Source organism: Homo sapiens, chromosome 11, assembly GCF_000001405.40.
Source record: "Homo sapiens chromosome 11, GRCh38.p14 Primary Assembly".
Lineage (NCBI taxonomy): Eukaryota > Metazoa > Chordata > Mammalia > Primates > Hominidae > Homo > Homo sapiens.
In genome coordinates, this window is record NC_000011.10 from 64,870,300 (window position 1) to 64,894,213 (window position 23,914).

General features: G+C 55.0%; 1 protein-coding gene, 1 long non-coding RNA gene, 3 other non-coding genes and 1 pseudogene across 9 annotated transcripts in view, besides 14 other annotated features; 1 reads left to right on the plus strand and 5 right to left on the minus strand.

The window, feature by feature from the left end:
- EHD1 (EH domain containing 1) overlaps positions 1 to 9,394 on the minus strand; it is a 28,052-nt gene extending 18,658 nt beyond the window's left edge. The window contains exons 1-4 of one of the 3 annotated variants that reach the window (NM_001282444.2): positions 9,313 to 9,394; positions 8,536 to 8,857; positions 7,762 to 8,188; positions 4,122 to 4,219 (exon numbers count right to left, since the gene is read on the minus strand). In NM_001282444.2, coding sequence (NP_001269373.1) covers positions 4,122 to 4,219; positions 7,762 to 8,165 — 502 coding nt within the window. In that variant the 5' untranslated portion in view covers positions 8,166 to 8,188; positions 8,536 to 8,857; positions 9,313 to 9,394. Of the gene's footprint in view, positions 1 to 4,121; positions 4,220 to 7,761; positions 8,323 to 8,535; positions 8,858 to 9,312 lie in introns of those variants that run through there. The other 2 variants (NM_001282445.2, NM_006795.4) reach the window with 2 other exon arrangements.
- Positions 1,289 to 1,378: an enhancer, noted in NCBI's record as "active region_4928". NCBI's record gives its function as "activates an Ori minimal core promoter by ATAC-STARR-seq in GM12878 lymphoblastoid cells {active_cell/tissue: GM12878}" and the evidence as "EXISTENCE:reporter gene assay evidence [ECO:0000049][PMID:35858748]".
- Positions 3,437 to 3,627: a silencer, noted in NCBI's record as "fragment chr11:64641208-64641398 (GRCh37/hg19 assembly coordinates)". NCBI's record gives its function as "represses an EF-1alpha promoter that drives an FKBP-Casp9 reporter gene in an ReSE screen in phorbol 12-myristate 13-acetate-treated (for megakaryocytic differentiation) K562 erythroleukemia cells {active_cell/tissue: K562(+PMA)}" and the evidence as "EXISTENCE:reporter gene assay evidence [ECO:0000049][PMID:32094911]".
- Positions 6,459 to 7,235: an enhancer, noted in NCBI's record as "H3K4me1 hESC enhancer chr11:64644230-64645006 (GRCh37/hg19 assembly coordinates)". NCBI's record gives its function as "activates a minimal SCP1, AML or CMV promoter by ChIP-STARR-seq in naive H9 embryonic stem cells {active_cell/tissue: H9 hESC(naive)}" and the evidence as "EXISTENCE:reporter gene assay evidence [ECO:0000049][PMID:30033119]".
- Positions 6,899 to 6,998: an enhancer, noted in NCBI's record as "active region_4929". NCBI's record gives its function as "activates an Ori minimal core promoter by ATAC-STARR-seq in GM12878 lymphoblastoid cells {active_cell/tissue: GM12878}" and the evidence as "EXISTENCE:reporter gene assay evidence [ECO:0000049][PMID:35858748]".
- Positions 7,159 to 7,228: a silencer, noted in NCBI's record as "silent region_3497". NCBI's record gives its function as "represses an Ori minimal core promoter by ATAC-STARR-seq in GM12878 lymphoblastoid cells {active_cell/tissue: GM12878}" and the evidence as "EXISTENCE:reporter gene assay evidence [ECO:0000049][PMID:35858748]".
- Positions 8,079 to 8,128: a silencer, noted in NCBI's record as "silent region_3498". NCBI's record gives its function as "represses an Ori minimal core promoter by ATAC-STARR-seq in GM12878 lymphoblastoid cells {active_cell/tissue: GM12878}" and the evidence as "EXISTENCE:reporter gene assay evidence [ECO:0000049][PMID:35858748]".
- Positions 8,149 to 8,708: a silencer, noted in NCBI's record as "silent region_3499". NCBI's record gives its function as "represses an Ori minimal core promoter by ATAC-STARR-seq in GM12878 lymphoblastoid cells {active_cell/tissue: GM12878}" and the evidence as "EXISTENCE:reporter gene assay evidence [ECO:0000049][PMID:35858748]".
- On the minus strand, positions 8,224 to 8,310 carry MIR10392 (microRNA 10392). The gene has a single exon (NR_162101.1). It is a non-coding gene; the product is annotated as a microRNA 10392 (primary transcript).
- Positions 10,321 to 10,470: an enhancer, noted in NCBI's record as "active region_4930". NCBI's record gives its function as "activates an Ori minimal core promoter by ATAC-STARR-seq in GM12878 lymphoblastoid cells {active_cell/tissue: GM12878}" and the evidence as "EXISTENCE:reporter gene assay evidence [ECO:0000049][PMID:35858748]".
- Positions 10,641 to 10,690: an enhancer, noted in NCBI's record as "active region_4931". NCBI's record gives its function as "activates an Ori minimal core promoter by ATAC-STARR-seq in GM12878 lymphoblastoid cells {active_cell/tissue: GM12878}" and the evidence as "EXISTENCE:reporter gene assay evidence [ECO:0000049][PMID:35858748]".
- Positions 10,751 to 10,840: an enhancer, noted in NCBI's record as "active region_4932". NCBI's record gives its function as "activates an Ori minimal core promoter by ATAC-STARR-seq in GM12878 lymphoblastoid cells {active_cell/tissue: GM12878}" and the evidence as "EXISTENCE:reporter gene assay evidence [ECO:0000049][PMID:35858748]".
- Positions 11,236 to 11,646, plus strand: RPS16P6 (ribosomal protein S16 pseudogene 6; annotated as a pseudogene).
- Positions 13,092 to 13,593: an enhancer, noted in NCBI's record as "H3K4me1 hESC enhancer chr11:64650863-64651364 (GRCh37/hg19 assembly coordinates)". NCBI's record gives its function as "activates a minimal SCP1, AML or CMV promoter by ChIP-STARR-seq in primed H9 embryonic stem cells {active_cell/tissue: H9 hESC(primed)}" and the evidence as "EXISTENCE:reporter gene assay evidence [ECO:0000049][PMID:30033119]".
- Positions 17,093 to 17,663: an enhancer, noted in NCBI's record as "H3K4me1 hESC enhancer chr11:64654864-64655434 (GRCh37/hg19 assembly coordinates)". NCBI's record gives its function as "activates a minimal SCP1, AML or CMV promoter by ChIP-STARR-seq in naive H9 embryonic stem cells {active_cell/tissue: H9 hESC(naive)}" and the evidence as "EXISTENCE:reporter gene assay evidence [ECO:0000049][PMID:30033119]".
- Positions 17,093 to 17,856: a biological region, named in NCBI's record as "H3K4me1 hESC enhancer GRCh37_chr11:64654864-64655434".
- Positions 17,497 to 17,856: a silencer, noted in NCBI's record as "silent region_3500". NCBI's record gives its function as "represses an Ori minimal core promoter by ATAC-STARR-seq in GM12878 lymphoblastoid cells {active_cell/tissue: GM12878}" and the evidence as "EXISTENCE:reporter gene assay evidence [ECO:0000049][PMID:35858748]".
- MIR194-2HG (MIR194-2 host gene) lies at positions 18,159 to 23,150 on the minus strand. 3 transcript variants are annotated; one of them, NR_133640.1, is made up of 3 exons: positions 23,112 to 23,150; positions 22,291 to 22,527; positions 18,159 to 19,041 (listed from the first exon to the last, which is right to left on the minus strand). It is a non-coding gene; the product is annotated as an MIR194-2 host gene (long non-coding RNA). The 3 variants fall into 3 exon arrangements; NR_133639.1 differs by having other exon boundaries at positions 22,130 to 22,527; NR_133638.1 differs by lacking the exon at positions 18,159 to 19,041 and having other exon boundaries at positions 20,387 to 22,868.
- On the minus strand, positions 20,838 to 20,947 carry MIR192 (microRNA 192). The gene has a single exon (NR_029578.1). It is a non-coding gene; the product is annotated as a microRNA 192 (primary transcript).
- Positions 21,056 to 21,140, minus strand: MIR194-2 (microRNA 194-2). Its single transcript, NR_029829.1, has one exon. It is a non-coding gene; the product is annotated as a microRNA 194-2 (primary transcript).
- Positions 23,151 to 23,914: the final 764 nt, after the last annotated feature.

A 23,914-nucleotide genomic window follows, 5' to 3' on the forward strand; every position in this document is an offset into this window, starting at 1 on the left:
ACCCTTCTCAGCTCCGCCGCAGTAGGAGCACAGCCCCTACCTGGGTTCAAATCCTAGCGCCGACACTTGCTGGCCTGCCTGTCATCTTAGGCCAATTACTTAACTTTCCTAAGCCTCTGCTTCCTCCTCTGAAAGGCAGGAGCTTCCTCCTAGATGCAGCTGCTGTGATAACTCAATGGAACTCACTGATGTGGCAGTGGCCAGCAGAAAGTCAGACACAAAGCTGGCCAGGTCTCTGATCTGCTACTGCAAGTAGAAACACTACCCTGCTGATGCTGATACAGCTTTCATGGGGAGATTGAGACACAAAAACTCCCGCTTAGTTCACAGTTGCCTAGTGACCATGGTGGGGAACGAACGAACTGGCCGGGCTGCCCACAGAGGCCCCGCCGGGGGATGACTCGGCATGAGGCACTGCCGGGACCACGCAACTGGTCGGCAGCCCCTGGAGCCAAGGGCACCACCCCTGCCGGACCCAGCTGCCCTTTGGAATGCCCTTATCAGTCACACAGGCAGCACTCAAGAATGAACGCAGCCCCCAGAGGCCACCTTTCTCTGCTGACACAGGAGAACGGTATCTTTAAAGTCACTCAGATTAGCACACAGGCAAAGGCAGCCCAAGAGACCCCAACCCGGCCCCCTTCTCGTCCCTGAGGCAGTCCTCAGGGGTCCCTGACAGAGCCTGGCTGCATCCTGACTGCTTTGGGCCTGCACCAGCCCACCTTATCTTTTCAGACCGTGTTTCCTGCACACATTAGGACCATGGGGAAAGGGGAAAAAAAGTCAGGAGGGGCCAGGCGGGGCCAGACGGGGTGGGAAATGGAAGTAAATGCAATTAGCAACCCCAATGTCCATCCACGGCCTCCACAAGGACATGTTTCCAGGGAACGGGCTGGCAGGCCAGGGGAGGCGTGTTGTGCTGGGGCCCTGGTGCGTGCTCTGCCGGCCCCATCTTTCCGAGAGGGAAACACCTGCTTTCCACGCCACCAGCAAAGGCAGTAGCAGGTGGCCAGCCCTGCCGGGAACGCACTGCTCCACTCCGACCTCCTCCGCTGGACAGGCCACACGGGCCTTTCCATGACTGACGGGCGGGGCCTCCAGGAAACAGAAATCCACTCCTCCTGTGTACACCTAGCGGGGCTCATCCTGGAGTTTACACCCAGCACCTCCAAGAGGTACTGAGCGATGGTCTTTCTCCTGACAATAAAACACCATCATTCAAACCCTAACCAGGTAACTTTTAGTAAAACACATCTAAACCAAGGCCTCTAGGGCTATGGAGGAAAAGAAATGGTCTAGTAAAATCGGTTTGATCTTCTGCTACTTCACAGCAGGAAACCCCTCCTCCAATCAGCGTGATGTGCTTCTCTTTCAGCCACCGGCTCCTTCCTGCCCATAATGGGTAGAGATGACCTTCTGTGGATATAGGGGAGCCTGGCCTCTCAGGGATGCAGAGGGGCCACACTTTGCACCTGGAGGGGAGAGGGAGGCCACACAGGCAGAGCAGGGCAGCACACTGACAGCAGCCTCATGTCCTGCTGGCTTGTTCCTCCAACCTGTTGTCTGCACAGGCAACTCCAGGGCAGGGACCACAAGGCAACACCTACGTCCACCCCTTGCTCCCAATCAAAACGCCATGCTGTGTCTGCAGATCCACTGATATGGAGCATACACTTTGGTGCTTGTCCCAGAGACAGCCAGTGTAGACACCTCTGCCTGCCTCTTTCCTACCAGGGAAAGGAAGCAGAGGGAGTGGGAGGTGGGGAGGGAGCATCTCAGAGGGCAGGGGCCAAGGCAAGCAACACAAGACATACAACCCCAGCCGAGCATGATGGCCCGCGCCTGTGGGCCCAGCTACTCGGGAGACTAAGGTGGAAGGATCACTTGAGCCCAGGAGTTCAAGGCTGTGATGATGCTTTGAGAGGCCGAAGCGGGCAGATCACCTGAGGTCAGGAGTTCAAGACCAGCCTGGCCAACATGGCGAAACCCCATATCTACTAAAAATATAAAAATTAGCCAGGCGTGGTGGCATGCACCTGTAATCCCAGCTACTCAGGAGGCTAAGGTGGGAGGATCGCTTGAACCAGGGAGGAGGAGGTTGTAGTGAACCGAGATCATGCCACTGCACTCCAGCCTGGGCGATAGAGCGACACTCTGTCTCAAAAAAATAAAAGAGTAACTTAATCAGATTTTCTGACCTTGCTTTGGCAAATGACAGGGCTTTTGCTTATCCGGCATTTACTAAAACTAGGTTGGAACAACAATAGCAGTAAGAAATAAAAATACTAGCCCTCGCTTTTTTTTTTTTTTAAAGGGGTCTCCAAATCTACTCCCTTAACTCCTAGGTGCATCACTGTCACCAGGGGTGGGAGAATCTAACAGCTTAACTGGCAGCTCTGAAACCAGATGAGGGCCAGTGATTTCAGTACGCTCTGATGCAGTCCCACACGGGCAAGGCCCGCAAGGCTGGAAGGAAAGAGAAGCAAGGTTTCTCAGCTCCAAGAACAGAGTCCCCATGCCCTCACAGCCCTAGCAGAGAGACATGTGCACCCCAAATCCTAGCTGCCGGCTTTGACTGCAAGGCTCACCCAGCAAAGGCCAGTCCAGAGGGTAAGGGACACGGGAAGGATCTGCAAGTTAATCATCAACAAACTTGCTCACTTGTCCTCAACCCCTCTTTGAGTTTGATCTTATTTCATTTTCACATTTGGAGCTGTAGACTCCACTCCTCACCTGCCAGGTACCAGCCTACCCTCAAGCTCCTCCCAGAAAGCATCAGGCCCCAAAGCGCCCCACCCGTCTGTGAAAAAGGGGCAGTGACAGATGGAGGACCCAGTTCAGGCTCATCCTGAACCAGATCTTCAAAAGAGCTTGGCAGAATCTAGGCAGGAGTTTACACAATTGGAATGGGCACGGTGCACTACTGCATAGCAAGAAGGCCTCAGCCAGGGAGGCTGCTGTCAACCTCTAAGCAAATGTAAGCAAATTTCCACCAGCCCGTTTCATGAATTTCTACCAGCTTCTCCTTTTGCTTGGCTCTCTCTCAGTCCTGCTGGACGTGTGAGGAATGTATATGGCTTTGGGGGGCAAAGGCTGTTAAACACAGACTAAAGCTAATAAGCTCTGGGGACCAGGGGCTTGTTCAGAGTCAGCAATGCTTCCTGCACCCTCACAGCATGGCCCGATTCTGATCCTGTTGTTTCCAGCATGCCCCAGGGGTTCAAAAGCATGACAGCCACATAAGATTGGCTGTGGTCTCACCATGGCTGCTCCCATTGCCTAGGCCCAGGGAGCCAAGAAAGAAAGCAGCTCCCGCCCTCTCAGTGCACAGAGCACTGTGGAGATGGGAGGCTGATGTAAAATGGGTTCTTACTCGGACACTTTTTTTTTTTTTTCTGAGACGGAGTCTCGCTGTCGCCCAGCCTGCAGTGCAGTGGCGCGATCTCGGCTCACTGCAAGCTCTACCTCCTGGGTTCACGCTATTCTCCTGCCTCAGCCTCCCGAGTAGCTGGGACTACAGGCGCCCACCAACACGCCCAGCTAATTTTTTCTATTTTTTAGTAGAGATGGGGTTTCACTGTGTTAGCCAGGATGGTCTCAATCTCCTGACCTCGTGATCCGCCCACCTCGGCCTCCCAAAGTGCTGGGATTACAAGTGTGAGCCACCGTGCCCGGCCACATTTTTTTTTTTAGAAAGGCTGAGACTGGAAGAAATCTCGAGGGCAGCCAGGTGTGGCGGCTCACGCCTGTAATCCCAGCACTTTGGGAGGCCAAGGCGGGCAGATCATGAGGTCAGGAGTTCGAGACCAGCCTGGCCAATATAGTGAAACCCCATCTCTACGAAAAATACAAAAATTAGCCGGGCGTGGTGGCACATGCCCGTAGTCCCAGCTACTCAGGAGGCTGAGGCAGGAGAATCGCTTGAACCCAGGAGGCAGAGGTTGCAGTGAGCTGAGATCGCGCCACTGCACTCCAGCCTGGGTGACAGAGTAAGACTCCGTCAAAAAAAAAAAAAAAAAAAAGGAGAAATCTCAAGGGCAGCATCTGAACCAAGTTGCAGATCTTAGAGAGAAGGATGTGTGACAACACCAGCAGCCCGAGCTGTGGTCACAGCTGTTTACCTCTGCTGATCCGCTGCTTCTCTCCAGACAGGATCCCGGGGGTGTCGATGATGCTGATGCTGTCCAGGACGGGGTTGGGCAGCTGGGCACACATGAACCTACATGAGAGCAAGAGCCAGAAGAGAGGCGTCAAGACACAGTCATCACTGCTCCGGACACAACAAAGGGCTCTCTGTACTCCTTCGCTCCATCTCTGGCTTCCTCTCCAGCAGCGGGGAACTGACAGGTGGTTTTCTATCGTCTTAGTTTCCCGGGGTGGCCGGCAAATCGTATGGACTTTCTCAACTGGGAATGCAACCAGCAGGCTCAAACTGACCCAAATCAGCACTTCCTCACACACTTTTCCCCTAGAGTTTGAGAGGTCAACTTTCAAGCTGCTGACTTGTTAGTGAAAACTGTGCAAGCCTAGGTCACCATTCAGTTCGGAGGGGAAGCAGAAGGTCACGCTGGGGCGCTGAAATCCCATCTCAGAATCCTCCAGCACTTGGCTAAATCTCCACACTGAAGAGAGCTGGCCGCTTCCTACTGCTGCTAGGGCCAGCCCTGCCCTTTCAACCAGCCGCTTGGGTGAGGGAATTGAAATGGACGGCTGGCAAAAGCTGGGGACCACACAGGCTGGTAGACGGTGGGACGGAGAAGCACAGACGCGCCATTCTCTGAAAGTCCGAGCAGGCTGAGGAAGAACAAAGCCGTGGAGAGGCTGGCGACTTGCGGGCCAGGGCTCAGCCACGCATATCTGAGTTTCACACTAAGCTTAGAACAGCCCAGAAAGGCAAGGGGCAGTCTCAGTTGAGAGCAGGGATCCTTCACTGGACGCAGAAAAAGCTCCTTTGAAAAGTTCTCTGAAAGGCCAGGCGTGGTGGCTCACGCCTGTAATCCTAGTACTTTGGGAGGCCAAGGCAGGCAGATCACTTGAGGTCAGGAGTTCACGACCAGCCTGGCCAACATGGTGAAACTCCATCTCTACCCAAAATAGAAAAATTAGCTGGGCATGGTGGCACGCGCCTGTAGTCCCAGCTACTCGGCAGGCTGAGGCAGGAGAATTGCTCGAACCCAGGAGGTGGAGCTTGCAGTGAGCCGAAATTGTGCGCCACTGCACTCCAGCCTGTGCAACAGAGCGAGACTCTGTCTCAAAAAAACAAACAAAAAACTTCTCTGAAAAAGGTAGTGAGAGCAAAGAAAAGACTGACCCATTATCTGTAGGACACAGACTTGAAGCTGCCTTTCCAACAGACGGGAGGACTCTGAGCCGATCAGCTTCTCCCTTTGGCCCCATCCCCCAGTGACCAGGGGCCCACGGGCAGAGGGCAGCTGGCCAGGGCAAGGGGTGCTCTGCAAGGCAGTGGAGCAAGACCAGCTGACCTGCAGGGCGAGCAAAACGTGGGCCTCACTCTCGCCAGTGCCAGTAGCAATGCATGAAGGCCAGTCCTGGCCTTCCTGCTGGGGACAGGAGGCGCTGGAGAGATGATTACAGAATAGAAGGATGGGAAGCAGAATTGGCTCTGGGAAATCACATACATAAAAATGCCTCATAAATGAGCCCAGAAAGTGAGTTAATATCTATAGGACCCAGAAACCAGTTGCTCTGCAGAGCCCAGGGTATATGGCAGAAAACAAGAAAGGGGAAGCAGCAAAGATGCCTCCGATTCCATCTCACCAAGAACGCACAGGTTTCATCTCGCACAAGTGGCAGTCCCAGTTATGCAATAAGTTTTTGCAAGACACTCTTAAGACACCCTGACTGCACCTTGCCTTGGTCTGCTCCAGCTGATTTTATTCTTAGAGCAGCCACATAGGGGGAGAAGGCCGGCAAGTCAAGTTCACGACTCAATGAGTCTCTTCAAGACTCAGCTGGGAGAGGCTGTATCAGCCAGAGAAAAGCCTCCTTTGTTGCACCCTCCTCGCCGGGCTCACTCCCCACACTACACATCCTGGCACAGCTCTGGGCCTCAGCGTGGGCTGATAGGGCCCTTTCGGCAGGGCCATCAGTGATCAGGGATCCTCTGGAGATGAGGTGGCAGCAAGAAGGAAATAAACGTGTGCCACCTCTCAGATCCTGTGGCACCAATGTCATCAAAGCACCGGTCTCGGACAAAGCAATCTCGAATTGCTCTTTTTCGGGTAGAAGCAGCAGAAAGCAGTAACTGGCTGTGCAAAAGCCAGGCAGTCAGTGCTGGCTGACCTAATGGGTGACTTCCACACATCAGCCAGACCCTCTGAACCTCGGTTTCCTGAACCAGTCAGGTGGGGGCTGCCAAGATGATGTCTAAGATCCTTCCAGCTCTGAAACTCTAGGCTTCCAAATTCAGAAAACTGGTCCTGTGCCATGTCTCTCCTTTCAAAAAAGGTGTGCCCTCACAAGGAAAGTGAAGAGGACTCCGCCTCTTCAGGACCCTTAGCCCAAAGGGCTGCACTCAACCTGGCCTTGACAGACAAACATCAACAGCCGTAAAACAGGAGGGCGGGCTGAAATGCCTGGAAGTGAACAGACCCTGCTGAAGGTCAGCTCTGTGCCTGGAGTAGGCCTGGCCACCAGCTTGGCTCTAGGGCAAGCTGCCCTGCACAGCTGGATGGCGTCTGGAAAGGAATGTGACCGTGCAGGGCGGGGACCTGGAAGGCAGGATTCAAAGATTCCTTCAGAGGCTCTTCGCTGGTGCAGAATTATGAAAGGCATGTGGAGTCCGTGAACGTGGGGTGGCAGGGAGGACAGGGTCTGTGAAGTACTTTGGTATGTCGCCTGGGGGTTGGGACGGGCATGTCTCGAGTTTCTCTGGAGAAAAGTGAGCTTGGGCATTGCACTCCTTGAGGGGCGGGAGCACTGTGTTTCATTCACAGCACTGAGACAGGCAGAGTCCTGGAGCTCACTCTCCTCGCGTGCAGAGGCCACTTAACTGGAAAAGTGAGGTCCAAGTGGGTGAAGGAACCTCAGATTCTGTCCCTCAGTGCACAGAAGGGCTTAGGGCCAGAATCTCATTGCAGGGCTCCCACTGCCACCACCTCATCCTGCTTCCTGAAACCCCTCAGGGCAGCACTGACCTCTTGAGAGCTGCCATTGGGAGAAGTGTTCGAACCTCAACTGTCCCCTGCCTCCAAGGGGCTGCCCCAAAGTCAGCAAGCCACAGCCGATCCTCCTCCTCCCTCCTACACAAAACCACCGTCCCAGGGGAGGCAGAGCAGACCCACACCGCACCAGAGAAGGGAATGGCTAAAAGTTTCATTGTGTTTTGCTATTGACACTTAAGAAGACAGGGAGGGGAGGGTTGATTTCCGTGAATTAGGTGCATCCAGCCTGCGGGACGGAGGTGGAGACCAAGAAAAGGAGCGCAGGAATGGCTCAGCTTCCTACTGCGGCCCTGCTGCTGAGGGGAGTGGGGCTGGGATCTGCAGGAGGGCTTGGTGGTTACCCTGGAAGATTCTGGGGAGGACAGAAGCTGGGGGAGCCGACAACGCCCACTCTTAGACCCCCAGTGGGTTTACTCTGGGAAGGGGCAGGGCCCTTGGACCAGGGAGTGGTCACTGAGGGTCTCACTGGGGCCTCGGAGACAAAGGACGGCGGGGCGACAGCCACGGGAGGGTCAGGCTCCGAGTGAGGGGTGTGCCCCGGACGCGCCCCCCGCCCCCTGGAGTGATGGGTGGGTACCTGTTGAGGAAAGCGTTGCCAAACGCGTTGAGCTTGCGGAAGGGGCGCCGCGGGTCCACCACGAGCGCGTTGCCCGGCACCACGCCCTCAGTGGGGCCGTGCATGACGGCGATGAAGGAGTCGGTGGTGGGCTCGGGCCCGATGCGCATCCCCGGGAAGTCCTGCTCGATCAGGTGTCGGATGAAGGTGGTCTTGCCCGTGCTGTACTGCCCCACGAGGAGCACCATAGGCTTGTTGTCGAAGTCAGCGTCCTCCAGCGCGGGCGAGTGGAACTCGTGGAAGCGGTAGTGCTCCTCCAGGGGTAGCAGCTTCTGCGCGTACAGCTGCCGCAGCCCCTCAGCCACCGTCTGGAAGAGCTCCGGCTCCTTCTTGCGGCGGGCATCCTTGCTGACCCAGCTGAACATACTGCCGGACACGGGGCTGGCTGCTGCGGGGCAGAGCGGCGGCTGAGAGCGGGGCGAGGGTGCGGAGCCGAGGCGGGGCCGGCCGGGGCAGGGAATCGGGAGCGACCCACACTGCGCAGGCGCACAGCCCAGCCCGTCGAAGCGCCCTCTGCCGAATGCTGCGCACCCCTCGCGGAGCGGCCTTTATAGGGTCGGTCCCTCAGTGGCGGCTAGCGCCGCCGCGGCGGGGGCAGGGCGGAATTGGGGGCGGTAGGGAGGAGCCCCTCCCAGCCCCGCCCCTCCGACTGGTGCCACGTCTTCCCCTACCCCGCCCCCATTGGCTGATTCCAAATCTCGCGAGGCTGTGGTCCGGGTGCCGTGGCAACCGCACCTGTTTCGCCCCGCCCCTCGTAGGGAGGCTCGCGAAAGTGCTGCGGTTAGGAAGGCGAGGAGCGGGCGTTCGGCGGAGACGGCCTCTGGGCCGCGCGCCTTCCGGCACCGTGGCCCCCCCACACCCCCGCGGGATGGCTCCACGAGACACCCAGTCAGGCACCCTGGTTCCCTGACTACGCGCCGCGCCCGCCGTTCGCCACGTGCGGTCCTCCAGCTGGCTCGGAATCCCCGGAAGCATCGGAGTACCCCCAGGCGGCGGCACCTCCTCCTCTCAGCCCAGCTTCCCAGACACACACTGTCTTTGTCCCCTCATCTTTTATCTGCTTTGGGAGAGGGAGAGACAGGAAAGTGGTAGCAGAGCAAGCTGAGGGAGTAGAGAATCCGGGGCGGGCTGGTGACTGGGGAAAGAAAAATGGGCAGCGAGAGGCCTGACCTCCCCTCAGGCCGACGGGGTGGGAATGGGAGAGGGACGCAAGCGAGGGAGGACATGGGTGACACCGGACTCGCGCGGGAGAAGAGAAGGCTTCCCCACAAAGGCTATAGCTGGGGCAAGGCAGGGAGGGCATGAGGAGGAAGTTGAGGCTCTCTGGCCACTTGCGTATTGGGAAGTGAAATCGGAAATTCCCTATGTGGGGAAGAGGGGAAGTGTGGGGGCAACAATGAAATCTTGTGGGAATTTAGGGGGAAGTTTAAAAACCCAAATACTTCCACTTTCCTCTCGGGGTCACCACCATTTACCATCATTTACTGGGATCTGTGCCCTACCTCCCCTTACCAGTTCCTGGCTGTTCCATGGGGCTCACTCCCCCGCCATCCTCCCCGGCCACACACAGACCCCTTTGGCTGTCCAGGCTGGTGAGAATCTTCAGTGGGTGATGTCAGAGCTTTGGGGACTGATTGTTATGTAACCAGTATCAAGACACCAACCTGTGGTAGCAGGACCCTGGGGGCTCTTAAAGAGATCTGAATTGAACCTGCGACTTTGAAAGCCTCAGGTCCAACTTCCTCGCTTCTGGGAGATGTGGAAGCCTGGAGGGCTAGGGGCCTGTATCAGGGGATAACTTGGGCTGGTAGGCTAAGAGGAAGAGGCAGGAACTCAAATCTGAGAACGGGGGATATCTCAGGGGAACTGAGTGGTGGAATCTAGAGAGGACACGATGGGAGGTTTGTTCGCCTACCGCTTGTAAGATCCCTTCCGAGGGAATAGATAGTTCCCTTGCCCTCCCCTCTTGCTCCCTAACCATTGGAGAGCGGATAAGTAATTCCAACCCTGCCTGCAATCTTACGCCCCTTAGTGCTTTGATTTGATTCTTTTCATCATAGTAAAGCACACAAGCTACTGCCCCCCCCCTTTTTTTTTTTTTTTTTTTTTTTTGGTGTTATTCTCAAAAGAAGATACTGAGGCTCCTAGGCAGAGCTGTCACCAGAGGCTGCATGCCAATTGGTGACGAGGAGCCTCCGGCGGGCCTAGTCCAGACTTCCCGGGTCAGCCTTAGAAGCCACAGTGTTTGCCTCCTACTCAGCACTGTTAGGGATCCACCCCGGAGATGCAGTTTCTGGGTTGATCTAGGGAAGGGCCCAGGGCTGAGGATCCTGAATGAAGTAGTTGTTCAGTCGTCTCAATGAGGCTGCTCCAAACTGGCGCCCCGGCAGCATTCTCATTGACGCGCCATGGTTTTCAAATCTCCCCAGAGCCCTGTGTGCTGGGAAAACCCAGCCCTAGAAAACTGAAAACAACAAAATGTTCCTGGGTTATTTATAAACAAAACCCAGACCCTGTCGTTATGTATGGCCACTTGACTTTCTCCAAAGATCTTAAAGGACTGAAAGAAGGGATCTCTGTCACCCTGGTGAGGCCCACGTGACCAGCAATTAGTTTCCCCCAATTTCATGGAGTTGGCACCCAGCTTCCAGGCAGCTTCCTTATCTTGTCATGCCCCACACCGAAAATGTCCTAATTTTTTTTTCTTTTGTGTTTTCTGAGTAGGGCAGTTTGTTTGGTGGGAAAGTTGTATAAAATGTGAATGCACCCTTTCACTTTTGGTTTCTCCGCTGTTTCACTTTCTGCCTGTCTGCCTGAGCCCATGGCAGATTGATGGAGGGTTCAAGTATTTTTCTTTTATCTCAGAAACTGTGCCATCCCCCACTCCCAGTGTTTTATTCTTCAGTTAATAAATCCATTCCCTGCAAACCCAGGGCCTTGAGGTACCCCCTAGCTCTCCTCAGAAACGCCCTCATCCAGCAGAAAGGGGCCTCACCTCCCCTCTAAGTGGTCTGCTTGGTCCTGTCATGGCCTGATCTAGGAAAACATCTACAAGGTCCCTAGAGACAACTTAAAAAAAAAAGGCCAGGTGCAGTAGCTCATGTCTGTAATCCCAGCACTTTGGGAGGCCGATGCAAGCAGATCACCTGAGATCAAGACCACCCTGGCCAATATCACAAAACCCCGTCTCTACTAAAAATACAAAAATTAGCCAGGTATGGTGGCGTGTGCCTGTAATCCCAGCTACTGAGGAGGCTGAGGCAGGAGAATCGCTTGAACCCGTGAGGTGGAGGTTGCAGTGAGCCAAGATCGCACCACTGCATTCTAACCTGGGCAACAGAAGGAGACTCCATCTCAAAAAAAAAAAAAAAAAGAGAGGTGCCTTTTCCGCTTGCGGTGCCGTGCAGTGAGGAGCTCTTATCTGTGCTCTTGGCTATGCCATCCAAGGGCCAGCTGCAGTCCGTGCAATCCACTGCAAACATGGCAGTGGCCTCATCAAGGTGAATGGATGGCCCCTGGAGATGATGGAGCCGAGCGCTGCAATTCAAGCTGCTGGAACTAGTTCCTAGTTCTGCCTCTGGGCAAGGAGCAATTTGCTGACATGCACACGCATGTTTGTGTGAAGGGTGGTGGTCATGTGACCCAGATTTATGCTATCAACATCAGTCCATCTCCAAAGCCTTAGTGGCCTATTACCGGAAATAAATGGATGAGGCTTCCAAAAGGACCAGAGGCATCCTCATCCAGCATGACTGGACCCTGTCAGTAGCTGACCCCCGTTGCTGCAAATCCAAAAACGTTGGAGGCCCTGGTACCTATGCTTGCTACCAGAAATCGTACCAATAAGCCCATCACAGGGACCAGGATTCACCTATATAATAAACTATGTTTGAGAGTGTTTTTTTTTTTTTGAGACAGAGTCTCACTCTGTGTCACCCAAGCTGGAGTGCAATGGTGCGATCTCAGCTCACTGCAACCTCCACCTCCTGGGTTCAAGTGATTATCCTGCCTTAGCCTCCCAAGTAGGTGGGATTACAGGCGCCTGCCACCATGCCTGGCTAATTTTTTGTATTTTTAGTAGAGACTACTAAAAATACATGTTGGTCAGGCTGGTCTCGAACCCCTGACCTCAAGTAATACACCCACCTCAGCCTCCCAAAATGCTGGGATTACAGGCATGAGCCACCGCACCCAGTCGATATTTTTTTTTTAAGGAGTTTTTCTCCAAATATGGCAGAAAAATCGAGCTGAGAAAAACCAAAACATAGGTTTCTCCCTGGGATGAGGAGTGGTTCATTCTTTCCACTGACAGAGTTTGCATATCAGCACAGATTTTTGTTCTCACAGTCATGAGATTTGGGCAACAAATCAGTTTTCCCGACACAAGGTGAGGAACTGAGGAGGACTGTTCTTTTGAATGCCGGGTCTCCCACACTGGCAAGAAGAGTGTCCTCTCCACACCATGAGGCCTTTCTCTTGCAGCAGCTGTGGCCCTTGGGTGATGGCTCTGGGGAGATTGCTGGGCCCCAGAGGGCTCTGAAGGCATCTGGCAGCCAGAACATGGCCCAATTTGGAGGTGACCGTGTCAGAATCTTAGCTGCTTTCAAATTCCAGTGAGAAAGAGCCTGAGGCCCGGGATGTCCAGTGACTGCTCGAAGTAGCCCAGACTGAATGAGAATCTGGGCCTTCGGAGTCTTTTTTTTTTGAGAGGGAGTCTCCCTCTGTTGCCCAGGCTGGAGTGCAGTGGCGTGATCTTGGCTCACTGCAACCTCCACCTCCCGGGTTCAAGTGATTCTCCTGCCTCAGCCTCCCGAGTAGCTGGGACTACAGGCGTGTACCACCATGCCCGTCGGCTAATTTTTTCTATTTTTAGTAGAGATGGGGTTTCACCATGTTAGCCAGGATGGTCTTGATCTCCTGACCTTGTGATCTGCCTGCCTCGGCCTCCCAGAGTGCTGGAATTACAAGTGTGAGCCACCACGCCTGGCCAGGGCCTTCTGAATCTTAACACTGCCCTTTCCACACTCCAGCCACTTGAAGTTGCAAGGACGGGCAGGTGGAAAAGCAGAGAAAGAGGGTTTCAAGAGCCTCTTCCCCAGATGCAGGCTGAAGTGAATCTCTGCCCTGAAGCTCACCAGCCCTTCCTAGCCCCTTTGCTGCTCTGCAGCCTGGGGGACAGGCTTACACATTTATCAGGATGATGTACACATATAACTGCACAGTGCTTTGCAGAGCTGAGACTTATAGGTCTCTGAGCACTTTCAGTAAAAGCTCTAGTTCACCTGCCAGTTTTCTGTGTGTGTGTCTCAGTCCCTGCAGCTTCTGGCCCTGCCTTGCTGGGGCTGATGAGGCTGGGGCTGCCGCTGAGTGCAGGGTGCAGGGTTTGCCCTAAACTTATTGGAGGGCCCAGGCCTTTGCCTGACTCCACAGGAAATGGCTTATTATTTGGCACATAAGCAATCGCCTTCTGTGGTGACAACATTAGGGGGTCCCTTGTGGGGTGCTGGGGTCCCCCTTGCCCTACACTAATGAAATGGAGAGTGTAACCCCATTGTCCCCCAGCCTCAGCAGCCTGAGAGTACAAGTGAGGTGCATGGTCTTAGCCTCCCTTGTATGAGTGCAGACTGCTGCCGTGCACACGGCCCCTCTGCATTTCCGGGGGCTCTGAAGTGTGTCTCGTGTGTGCAAGAACGAGCCTGCCCAAGTTCTGCTCCAGCTGCCTCTCCCTTGCCTTGGCCTTGCCCTGCTGTGGCCCTGAGCCTCACCATGGGCTCACAGGCTGGGGGGCTGGAGGGTAATTCTGTCCCCAACTCTGTGTCACACTCAGCCACCAGGGCACAGAGCCCAGCCCATCTTCAACAAGCCCAGCTCCTCACTCCCACACCTCAGGAGTCAAACATCGTGCCCAAGGCCACCCTCCTGTCCCCTCTGCTGGGCGAACACCTCCCTCCTCCATCCCCCCAAATTAAAGTCTCTTTGTAGGTCACTTGGGGTGGTACATGGTGGTCCCCCAGCCCGCCTGTCTGCCGACACTCAGTCTCCCTCCCCGTCCTGTGGCCCAGCTGCCACATTCCTCTCACCTGCAGCTTCTTTACTGTGCCCTTAAGTACAGAACATGGTGACGCTCCATCTGCAAGGAGACTGGAGACCAGAACCCTCCCCTGAGGCCCACGTCTGCCCAGGCACCATGCTTGCTCCTAGAGGTACATGTTGGGGTGTCCCCGAGGGCAGGAATATAGTGGGACCCTCTCAGAGGTGGGGTCAGGCCTCCGTCTCCTGCTCACCCAACCTGGTCCCCTGCCCCTTGGCTCCATGTCCTGTCCCAGAAACACCTCTCTTGCCCTTTGGTCATCATTAAGCAGAATTTCAGGATGTCTGCAAGATCCCCCACCCCTGGTGTACATATCCAGTGTAATGCTGGGAATGCGGATCTGGTGACTTACTCCATGACATGCGGTGTTAGATGGTGCAGTCCACTGTACAAAGGGAGATAATCCCAGTGGGCCCCCCAGCTCACTGAGCCCTCTGAAAGCAGAGCTGGCTGGACAGTGGCTTACACCTGTGATCCCAGCACTTTAGGAGACTGAGGGGGTGGGTCACTTGAGCCCAGGAGTTCAAGACTAGCCTGGGTAACATGGCAAAATCCCATCTCTACCCAAAATACAAAATATTAGCTGGGTGTGGTGGCATGCACCTGTAGTCCCGGCTACTCAGGAGGCTGAGGTGGGAGGATCACCTGAGCCAGGGAGGTTGAGGCTGCTTCGAGCCATGATTGTGCTACTGCACTCCAGCCTGGGGGACACCATGTGGAAAGGAATGTGGGTGACCTCTAGGAGCTGAGAGGGGCCCCAGCAGACCACCAGCAAGGAAACGGGGACCTCAGTCCTATGGATGCAAGGAACCGGATTCTGCCAACAAGAATGAGCTTGGAGACAGATTCCTTCCCCTGCCTCCCGGTGATAGGGCAGCCTGGCTGCCACCTTCCTTCAGCATCTGACACTCTGAGAACAGAACTCAGTCATGCTGGGCCCAGACTTCCAACCTACAGAACCAGGAGCTCATAAATGGGGGCGGTTCTAAACCACAAAGTTTGTGGCACTTTGTTGTGTAGCAGTAGAAGGTAGCTACTGCAATAGATTTGTCTTTTTGTCGATCCACGAGTCCCTTCACAGGCAACACCTGGCAGCCACTAGACATGGGACCAGAGAAGAAAATGGAAGGACCCAAAAGTGACCATGGAGTACCAATCACTGGGATAGATTTCAGAAGGGAATACAGCATCACCTGGCTACACACACACACATACACACACACACCCCACACAGTGATTCTCAGCTGGGTGTGATTTTGCTCCCCCGGGGACATTCTTGGTATGATTATTTTGGGGATTGTTGCTGGCATCTACTAGGCAGAGGACAAGGCTGCTGCTGACCATCCTACAACACACAGGGCACTCCCACAGCAGAGAATTACCCTGCCCGAAATGCCAATAGGGCAGAAGCTGAGGCATCCTGATGAGCGCGCGCACGCCACACGCACGTGGCTGGCCATTATTGAGAAGCAGTATAGCATAAAGGCCAAGTGCATGGGCTTTGGAGCAGACTGTTCAGGATCAAATCCTACAGACCATATGATCTTTAGCAAGGCACTCAAGAGATAACAAAAGCACCCGCCTCCTAGGATGACATGAGTTCATGTGCACAGAGTGCGTAGAACAAGTGAGTCAGCTTACTCAGTGATTACAGGAAGTGTCTACGGGGTTATCCCTGCATCGTAGGAACTGGGGCAATTTTTATTTACTTTTCTATGTTGTCCAAATGTATATAATGGATGTACTTGACTTGTTTAATTGGGGGGAAATGGAGAGAAAAAGATGAGAAACACTCTACAAAACAACTGATCTAGACTCTTCAAAAATATCAAGGTCTTGAAAAACAAAGAAAGGCTGAGGATGGTTCTGGATTAAAGAAGACTGAGGAGAGCTGACACCAGATGTGAAGCGTGGTCCTGGCAGACTGGGACAATCAGAGACATTTGAAAGTGGACTGTACGTTAGATAATAGCATTGCATCACTGTCATCAGGCCTGAATTTGGTACTTGTCTTGTGGTTGCGTAAGAAATGTCATTTTTCTTAGGAGATACATGTTGAAATATTTAAGGGTAAAGGGCTAGGACTTATGTAACTTACTCTCCCGTGGTTCAGAAAATATGTGTGTGTGTATGTGTGTATGTGGGTGCCAGACAGAGAGAGAGAGAGAAAAGGGAGCAAATATTATTGCAGGCCGGGTATGGTGGCTCATGCCTGTAATCCCAGCACTTTGGGAGGCCGAGGCGGGCAGATCACCTGAGGTCGGGAGTTCGAGAACACCCTGACCAACATGGAGAAACCCCGTCTCTACTAAAAATACAAAAATTAGCCAGGTGTGGTGGCGCATGCCTGTAATCCCAGCTACTCGGGAGGCTGAGGCAGGAGAATTGCTTGAACCTGGGAGGCGGAGGTTGCAGTGAGCGCTATTGCACTCCAGCCTGGGCAATAAGAGAGAAACTCCGTCTCAAAAAATATATATATATGTGTATATATATATATATAAATATGTATATATATGTATATATATATATAAATATGTGTATATATATGTATATATATATAAATATGTGTATATATATATATGTATATATATATAAATATGTGTATATATATGTATATATATAAATATGTGTATATATATGTATATATATAAATATGTGTATATATATGTATATATATAAATATGTGTATATATATATAATTGCAAAGTGTTAACTGTCAATGAATCAAAATAAACAGTATATGGATGTTGTTCGTACTTTTCTTGCAACTTTTCTGAAGCTGTCATCATTGTCAAAAAGAAAAACAGAAAGACAGCCGGGCACGGTGGCTCACGCCTGTAATCTCAGAACTTTGAGAGGCCGAGGTGGGCAGATCCCCTGGGATTAGGAGCTCAAGACCAGCCTGGCCAACATGGTGAAACCCCATCTCTACTAAAATACAAAAATTAGCTGGGCATGGTGGTGGGTGCCTGTAATCCCCGCTACTCGGGAGGCTGAGGCGGGAGAATCGTTTGAACCCGGGAGGCAGAGCTTGCAGTGAGCTGAGATCAAGCCACTGCATTCCTGGGCAACAGAATGAGACTCCGTCTCAAAAAAAAAAAGAAAAACAAAATCAAAAAAAGGCCTGTACCCAGCTGTCCTTTATTAGGCACACCATGTGGCCTGGTCCAGTGTTAGGTCCACCACTCCATGACCTGACAGCCCCTGCTGGAGAAGCACCCTGCAGTAGAATCTGTGCATTACAATACTCATTATAATCCCAACAGTGCTCATAATAACAGCGCTCATAATAACCCCAAGTGTTCTCTTCACTATACAGCAGTGAACAAGAGTGAAGAAGCTTCGGCTCCATCAACTGCATGAGACTCAGCCAGACACGGCACCGTGATTCCATTTACATTAATAACAAGAAAGCCAGACAAAATGCTCGCAGACTGTTTGGGAAAGTGTACGGGGTAGTAAATCCCAGAGAAAGGAGAGGAAGTGATTACCTTAACACTCAGAACTGTGCTGACCATGGGCGGGGGGGACCTGGAAGGGCATATTTGGGGGCTCTGCAGGTTGTTACATGGGGACTCATTGTGAATTCTATGAATATACATTATACAGTGATGTTTTATACACACCACAGCGGGAAGAGCCCCACCAGGGCCACCTTGGGTAAGGCAGTGCGCGCCTGGGACCCGCAACTGTGTGTAGGACGCTGGCACCTGGGCTGTGCCCTAGGCCCAGGACAGTGTCCTGGCCAGGCCAGGCGCAGTTCTAGGCGGCCCGGGGAAGGCGAACCCAGGGGCTGCTCCCCCAGGCCTTGGGAGCCGCGCGGTGGGGAGGGTTGGCCCCGCCCCGCTTGGGAGGGGTGCCCGGGGCGCCCCCTAGTGGTGGCCACCGGGAGTAAGCCTTGCAGAAGAGGAAGCTGTCCCCGCCCGCCCCGCGCCTCCGTCCGGTTTCTGCATCTTTGCCCCTGGCATTCCTTCCTCCTCCAGTGATCACGACCTGTTTCTGGGGTTCACCTCAGCAAACGCCGACCTCACACTCACCTCTCCCAGGGAGGCTTTACTCCTCCCCGCCTGGGCCTTCTCTCTCTGAGGCTGGCGTACGGTCAATCTGCACAACCTCTCAGGGCCTCTGTCAGCGTAGCGTTTCACACACGTGTGGTGTGGACGATGGGACAAAGACAATACTACTGAGGCCTCCCACCGCCAGCTCTGTGCTGACCGCCCCACTGTGTCTAGGCTCCCTCCCTAAGCAACTTTGCTCATGCACAAGGTCAGTCCTTCTGTGTGCATTTATTAAGTGCCTCCTTTGAGTCTGAGGCTACAGGAAAAAAGTCAGTGGCCGCCACTCCTGGGGGCTTTCAGGCTGGTGGGGGAAATAGCCCGGTGTGGGTGATGGGGCATGATGGGGGCGCTAACATCCCAGCCACAGAGCATCCAGGGAGCCAGTGAGTGGGGTAATGGGGGGCGGGGCGGGGGGCCAGGCAGGTGTCCGCGAGGGAGTGACCCTTGGGCAGGTCTTGAGGAGTTCTGAGAGGGGTTGGAGGTGAGACCCAGGCCAGGGAAATGTGCATGGGCCCAGGGCCTGCTGGGTAAAGGACACAGGTCAGTGGGCTCAAGGAGCTGGGGGAGGGTGCTGGATCCGCCTTGCTCATGCATTGGAACAGGTCTCCAATAGCCCTCGCAGGCCTTTGTGGGATCGCAGTGCTCTGCAGAGGCAGATGCAGGAGGACCCCCAGGGCAGGGTGGCTGCTGTCTGCTCCCCTTTCACCCTATGCCAGTGCTCTGAGTCTGAGGCCTGACAGCCCCAAGAGGGTTAGAGTCCAGGGCCCTACCATCCAGCCCATGTATCCTGAACACCTACTATGCTGGTGGGTGGGGGAAGCAGCCAGGGAGGATGAGTAAGTCATGGACCTTGCCCTCAAGGAGTCTGAAACTAGCACAGGATTAGATAAGCACACAGGGCTCCTTAACTCTGTAGGGAATGAGATAAGGGTGGCGGGAGAGGCCCACGAAGCCGGGGTGTGGGCAGAGAGGGGAGCAGCGCCTGCAGAGTCATGGGATGGTCTGCAGGGAGGGGTTGCTGAGCTGGGCCACGGCAGGGGCCAATCGGGGCCCAGGGATTCAGAGCAGCCAGGACAGTGTGAGCAGAGCTGCCTGTGGGAAGGGGAGAGAGACAGTGTCTTAGGGGCCAGATGTTTGTTGGCTGCCTACAGTCCCCAGGAGAAGGTCCAACTTGCTCTGTGACTTCAGCAAATGTGCACCCTCTCTGAGCCTGTGTCCTCCTGTCCCAAACAGGTTCATGATGGATGCCAGGAGGACCAGGTCCTGGATGTGCGTGCCCAGCAGACAGAAAGGGCTCAATAGCCAACGCCTGTTATTAAGCAATTTGACATTTATTCCTAGGTCTCTATTTCCCATTTTACAAATTTTATTTTGTAGTACCAGAAACCTTTTTATTCAAATGAAAAATTCTGACAGGGCACAGTGGCTCATGCCTGTAATCCCAGCAGTTTGGGGGGCTGAGGCAGGACTGCTTGAGGCCAGGAATTTGAGACCAGCCTGGGCAACATGGTGAAACCCCATCTCTACGAAAAATACAAAAATTAACCAGGCATGGTGGCACGTGCCTGTAGTCACAGCTATTTGGGAGGCTGAGATGGGAGGACTGTGTGAGCCCTGGCAGGTGGAGGCTGCAGCAAGCTGTGATTGTACCACTGCGCTCCAGCCTGGGTGACAAAGCGAGCAAGACCCTGTCTCAAAAAAAAAAAAAAAAAAAAAGGAAAATTTCCTCAGAACCCCGTTGTATAAGAAACAGGTGGGGCTGGGCGCGGTGGCTCACACCTATAATCCCGGCACTCTGGGAGGCCGAGGTGGGCAGATTATCTGAGGTCAGGAGTTCGAGACCAGCCTGGCCAACATGGTGAAACCCAGTCTCTACTAAAAACACAAAAATTAGCTGGGCATGGTGGTGCATGCCTGTAATCTCAGCTATTTGGGAGGCTGAGGCAGGAGAATCGCTTGAACCCAGGAGGCAGAGGTTGCAGTGAGCTGAGATCATGCCAGGAGGGGAGGCTTCCTCCTGGGAGGAAGCCTGTTGCATTCCAGCCTGGGCAACAGAGCAAGACTCTGTCTCAAAACAAACAAACAAACACCACAAAGAAATAGGTGGAAATGAGGCTGTTGTGGGAGGCGGGACAGGGGTGGGGTCAGCTGTCCTGTCCTGGGTTGGCTGCTCTTCCTCTACCAGCAGCTGGGGTCCTGGGCCCTCTTAGGAATCCTAGGGGCTGGAGAAGCTGCTCCACCAACCACAGGGCTGTGCTCCAGGGAGATGAGACTGGCAAAGGAGGGGAGAGTAGGAAGCAGATGGGGAGGCTGGCTCAGGGCCCCATCCTGGGTGGGGGGGCTCCAGCACAAACACTGGGCCTAGAGCACTCAGCCCCCCTTGGCCACACTGCATGTCGGTGGGTGCTTCCTCAGGGTGCAAGACAGAGGCTCAGGATTGGTTCAGCAAACATTTATTGGGCACGCGCCTGGGCTGGGAACTGAGCTCACAGATGGGGAGAGGAGCGAGACATAAGCAGAAACCAGCACCGGGGCTCCGAGAGGGCAGTGCTCTGCGGCAGCACTGTGTGGGGGTGCCCAGGTGGGGACTTAGAAGCTTCAATAAGGCCTTCTGGAGGCAGCAAATGCTTGGACAGAGCTTGAAAGGGTTAGTAAGAGTGAGCCTGGCAAATAAGCTAGGAAGAGTATTGCAGCCCAAGGGAACAGCATGGGCAAAGCATAGAGGTGCCACAGGGCAGGCAGGGCAGGGGCAGGACTGAAGCTGTTCAGGCTCATTCACGGGGAATGAGACAGAGGGAGGTGGGACCATGAGTGCTGCACTGGGGTCGCAGGATCTCTGCTGACTGCTGGACACCCCCGGCCCTCCCCTATCCCTGCAGGTCCTGGTGGCTGGCATTGAGGCGAACATACCTGTGACCTATGGAATTGGCAGCCAGAGGGGAGACGAGAGCACTGGCTGTCAATTCATAGGTCAGAGCCCTGTGCACTCGGTCTCGGCAGCCCACCGACAGCCCTCCACTACCCGCCACCATCTGGCCTGGGAGCGTCGCCACGGTAGTCCTGGCTGGTCTGCTGGCCAGCACCTGCCTCTCCTTCTTCGTGGGTACTGGCCCTCGCCCCAGATAACAGCAGCCCCACTGGAACCAGTGGGCACTTCCACATGGAGTTGCTGTTACAGGGGGCGGGAACCAATTGGAGACCGGGGCCCTGCCTGGCGTCCGCCTTCGGCAGGGCTCTGGAGAGTGTCCCATGCCCACTCACCTGGGCTCCCCAGTCTTCGTGGCCCCAGGTCCATGGTCTTTTCACCGAGGCTTCTTATCATCCGGGGCCCACACCTGGCGCCCCGTGTGCTGCCAGCACTCCTTCCTGGGCAAAGTCCAGGCTCAACCCCAAATCGGCCTCATAAAGCCGGGAGCGGCTCGGATTTACAACTCCTGGGCAGCCTTTGCCCGCTCTGATGACCCCACGCCCTCTGTCCCCAAGTTATTTTGTTTCCTTGTTTCTTTCCCAACCAGAGCTGGGCCTCAGTTTCAGGTTTGGCCACTGTCACCTCTGCCCTTTGCCCACCCTCCCTGCTGCAGCCATGGGGCAGAGAGACAGCAAGGGACAGCTGGCACTTGTCAGTCCCCAGGGACCTCCCAGTGCCTGATTTCATGAGGATGGCCTCGTATGGGAAGCTGAAGATGAGACTAAGAAGAAGTGTGGGGGGCTGTGTGGGGGAGGGCACAGAAAGAGGGATAGTGAGGCAGAGGGGCTGAGAGAGGAAGAGAAGAGTAAGGCCGAGGATGGCGGTGCACACCTGGCATCCCAGCACTTTGGGAGACCAAGGTGGGAGGATCTCTTGAGCCCAGGAGTGCAAGACCAGCCTGGGCAACACAGTGAGACCCCATCTCTACAAAAAATAAAAAATTAGCCTGGTGTGGTGATGCATGCCTGTGGTCCCAGCTACTCAAGAGGCTGAGGCGGGGGATCACTTGAGCCTGGGAGGTCGAGGCTCCAGTGAGCTGGGATTGTGCCACTGCACTCCAGCCTCAGTGACAAAGAAAGACCCTGTCTCAAATAAAAATAAGAGGAGCAGGTAGAGAACTAGAAAGGAACAGAGAAAACAAACAGGGATAGTGGATGACGAGGTGTAGGAAGGGGGACGACAGGGAACTGGAAAAGATGTAGATACACAAACCTGCCGCAGAACATGAGGAACAGGCTGTGAGCAGTGGCTCGCCTGGAAGGACGCTTAGGACCTCAGTGGCCTGGAAGACAGCAGGGGCCTGGGAGCTGGGTGACCTTGAGCAAGTAGCGTAACCTCTCTGAACCACTGTCCATATGTCAATCAGGACTTACGAGGCCACCCTGCACGCTGGGCTGGCCTGGTGGGAAGCATCCGCCCTGGGACCCTTGGGTCTCTCTCCGCTGTGGGGAGAGGAAGCAGCTGCTGGCCAGGGTCCCTGAGTGAGCCCAGGGCTCTGTGAGGCAGAGCTTCCTCTTGCAAAGCGTGTTCTCGTCCCTCCCAGACAGGTTCCGGTGACAGGTGCCAGTCCTGCAGAGACCCAGCAGGCATTTTGGGAGACTCCAAAGCTTCTGGAGAGAAAGGGGAGCTTTTAGAGTAGACTTGGGCCCTGCCCCCTTTGCCAGTGGTGCATACAGGCCTAGAGAGACAGAGGGGGCCGCCCAAGGTCACAGAGCAGGGCCCCAGGGCCTGTGCTGCCCCAACAACCTTCCCGAAGTGGCGTCCCCCCTTCTCAGGATGCAGTCAGGGTGGGATGGGGGATCCCTGGGCTGGAATCCTTCTGCCTGGGGGGACAGACCTGCGAAGGAAGACACCGTAGCTGGTGGCTGGCCCTCCACTCAGCCTGGCGGCCCTTCCCACAGAGGCCTGGGCGAGACCAGCCTCCTGCAGCGTGGTGTCCAAGTGCCCTGGCCTGGCAGAGACAGCGCCCGATCAGGAATCCTGGCTCCACAGCTCTGAGCGCTGATGCTAAGGCCCCCTTATCCCACAGTGGAAACCAAGGCACAGAGAGGAAGGGGCTCGTCCCGGCCACCCCATGGCTGTCCAGGTCCCTTTCTTCCTCAGGATTGGCCACCCTTCAGAGAGGTGCCTGGGTTCAGGAGCCTCCTAGGACAGGGAGGGCGGCAGGGGTCCTACCACTCAGGAAGCCTCTTACCTGAGTGCCGGGCTGGCCTTCGGGGCACAAGGAGGAAGTGGGGACACCCTGGGCCCAGGGCCTTTTGAGCCGTTGACCCAGCCCCTGGTGGTGGTTAATGATTATCCCACCACCGTCAATACTGATCACAAGTGCGGTTCGAAGGGCAGGAAGCCCTGGACTGTGCCCGGGCAGGGTGGGGCGGGTCCAGGAAGCATCAGGCTGGGCCCCATCTGCCTCTCCGGGTGGCATCAGCACCGAGTCTCCACAGCCCTGTCTCCTCCAGGGCCTCGCCCTCCTGGTCTCTTACCAGCCTGCTGCCCCAGCTGTCCGTGGGCAGCCAGGACCCCAGGGTCCCTCGGGACAAAGCTTCTGCTCTGTTCCCAGTACCCAGATCTCCCCCACTCAGAAGGGGCCACAGAGCAGGGCTGGGGGACCTTTGCTAACCCCAGAGGCCTGCGGAACCTAGCAAGGTGAGGGTTCCCTGATTCCCAACCCGAGCCTTGGTTTCCCCATGGACCCACCCACCTCTGTGCAGCGCCACTGGGAAGCAGGGCAGGGAGGAGCGCGATGGGAGCAGCTCACAAGAAACAAGATGTGTGGGGGGCAATGGGCGCTCCCTGGTCCTGTGTAAAGCTTTGTGCAGTGAGGGTTGGGATTCCGGCTGCAGCGCTGCTCCAGCACCCCTCCCCCCTCCAAGTGCTGGAGCTGGGACCCCAGATCAGAGTGGAAACCAAGGGGCCAAGGCCTGGGCCACCCCAAAAGCCCCCACTAGGGATGGTGAGAGCAACATCTAGAATGCCTCAGGCTCAGCCTTCCCCGAG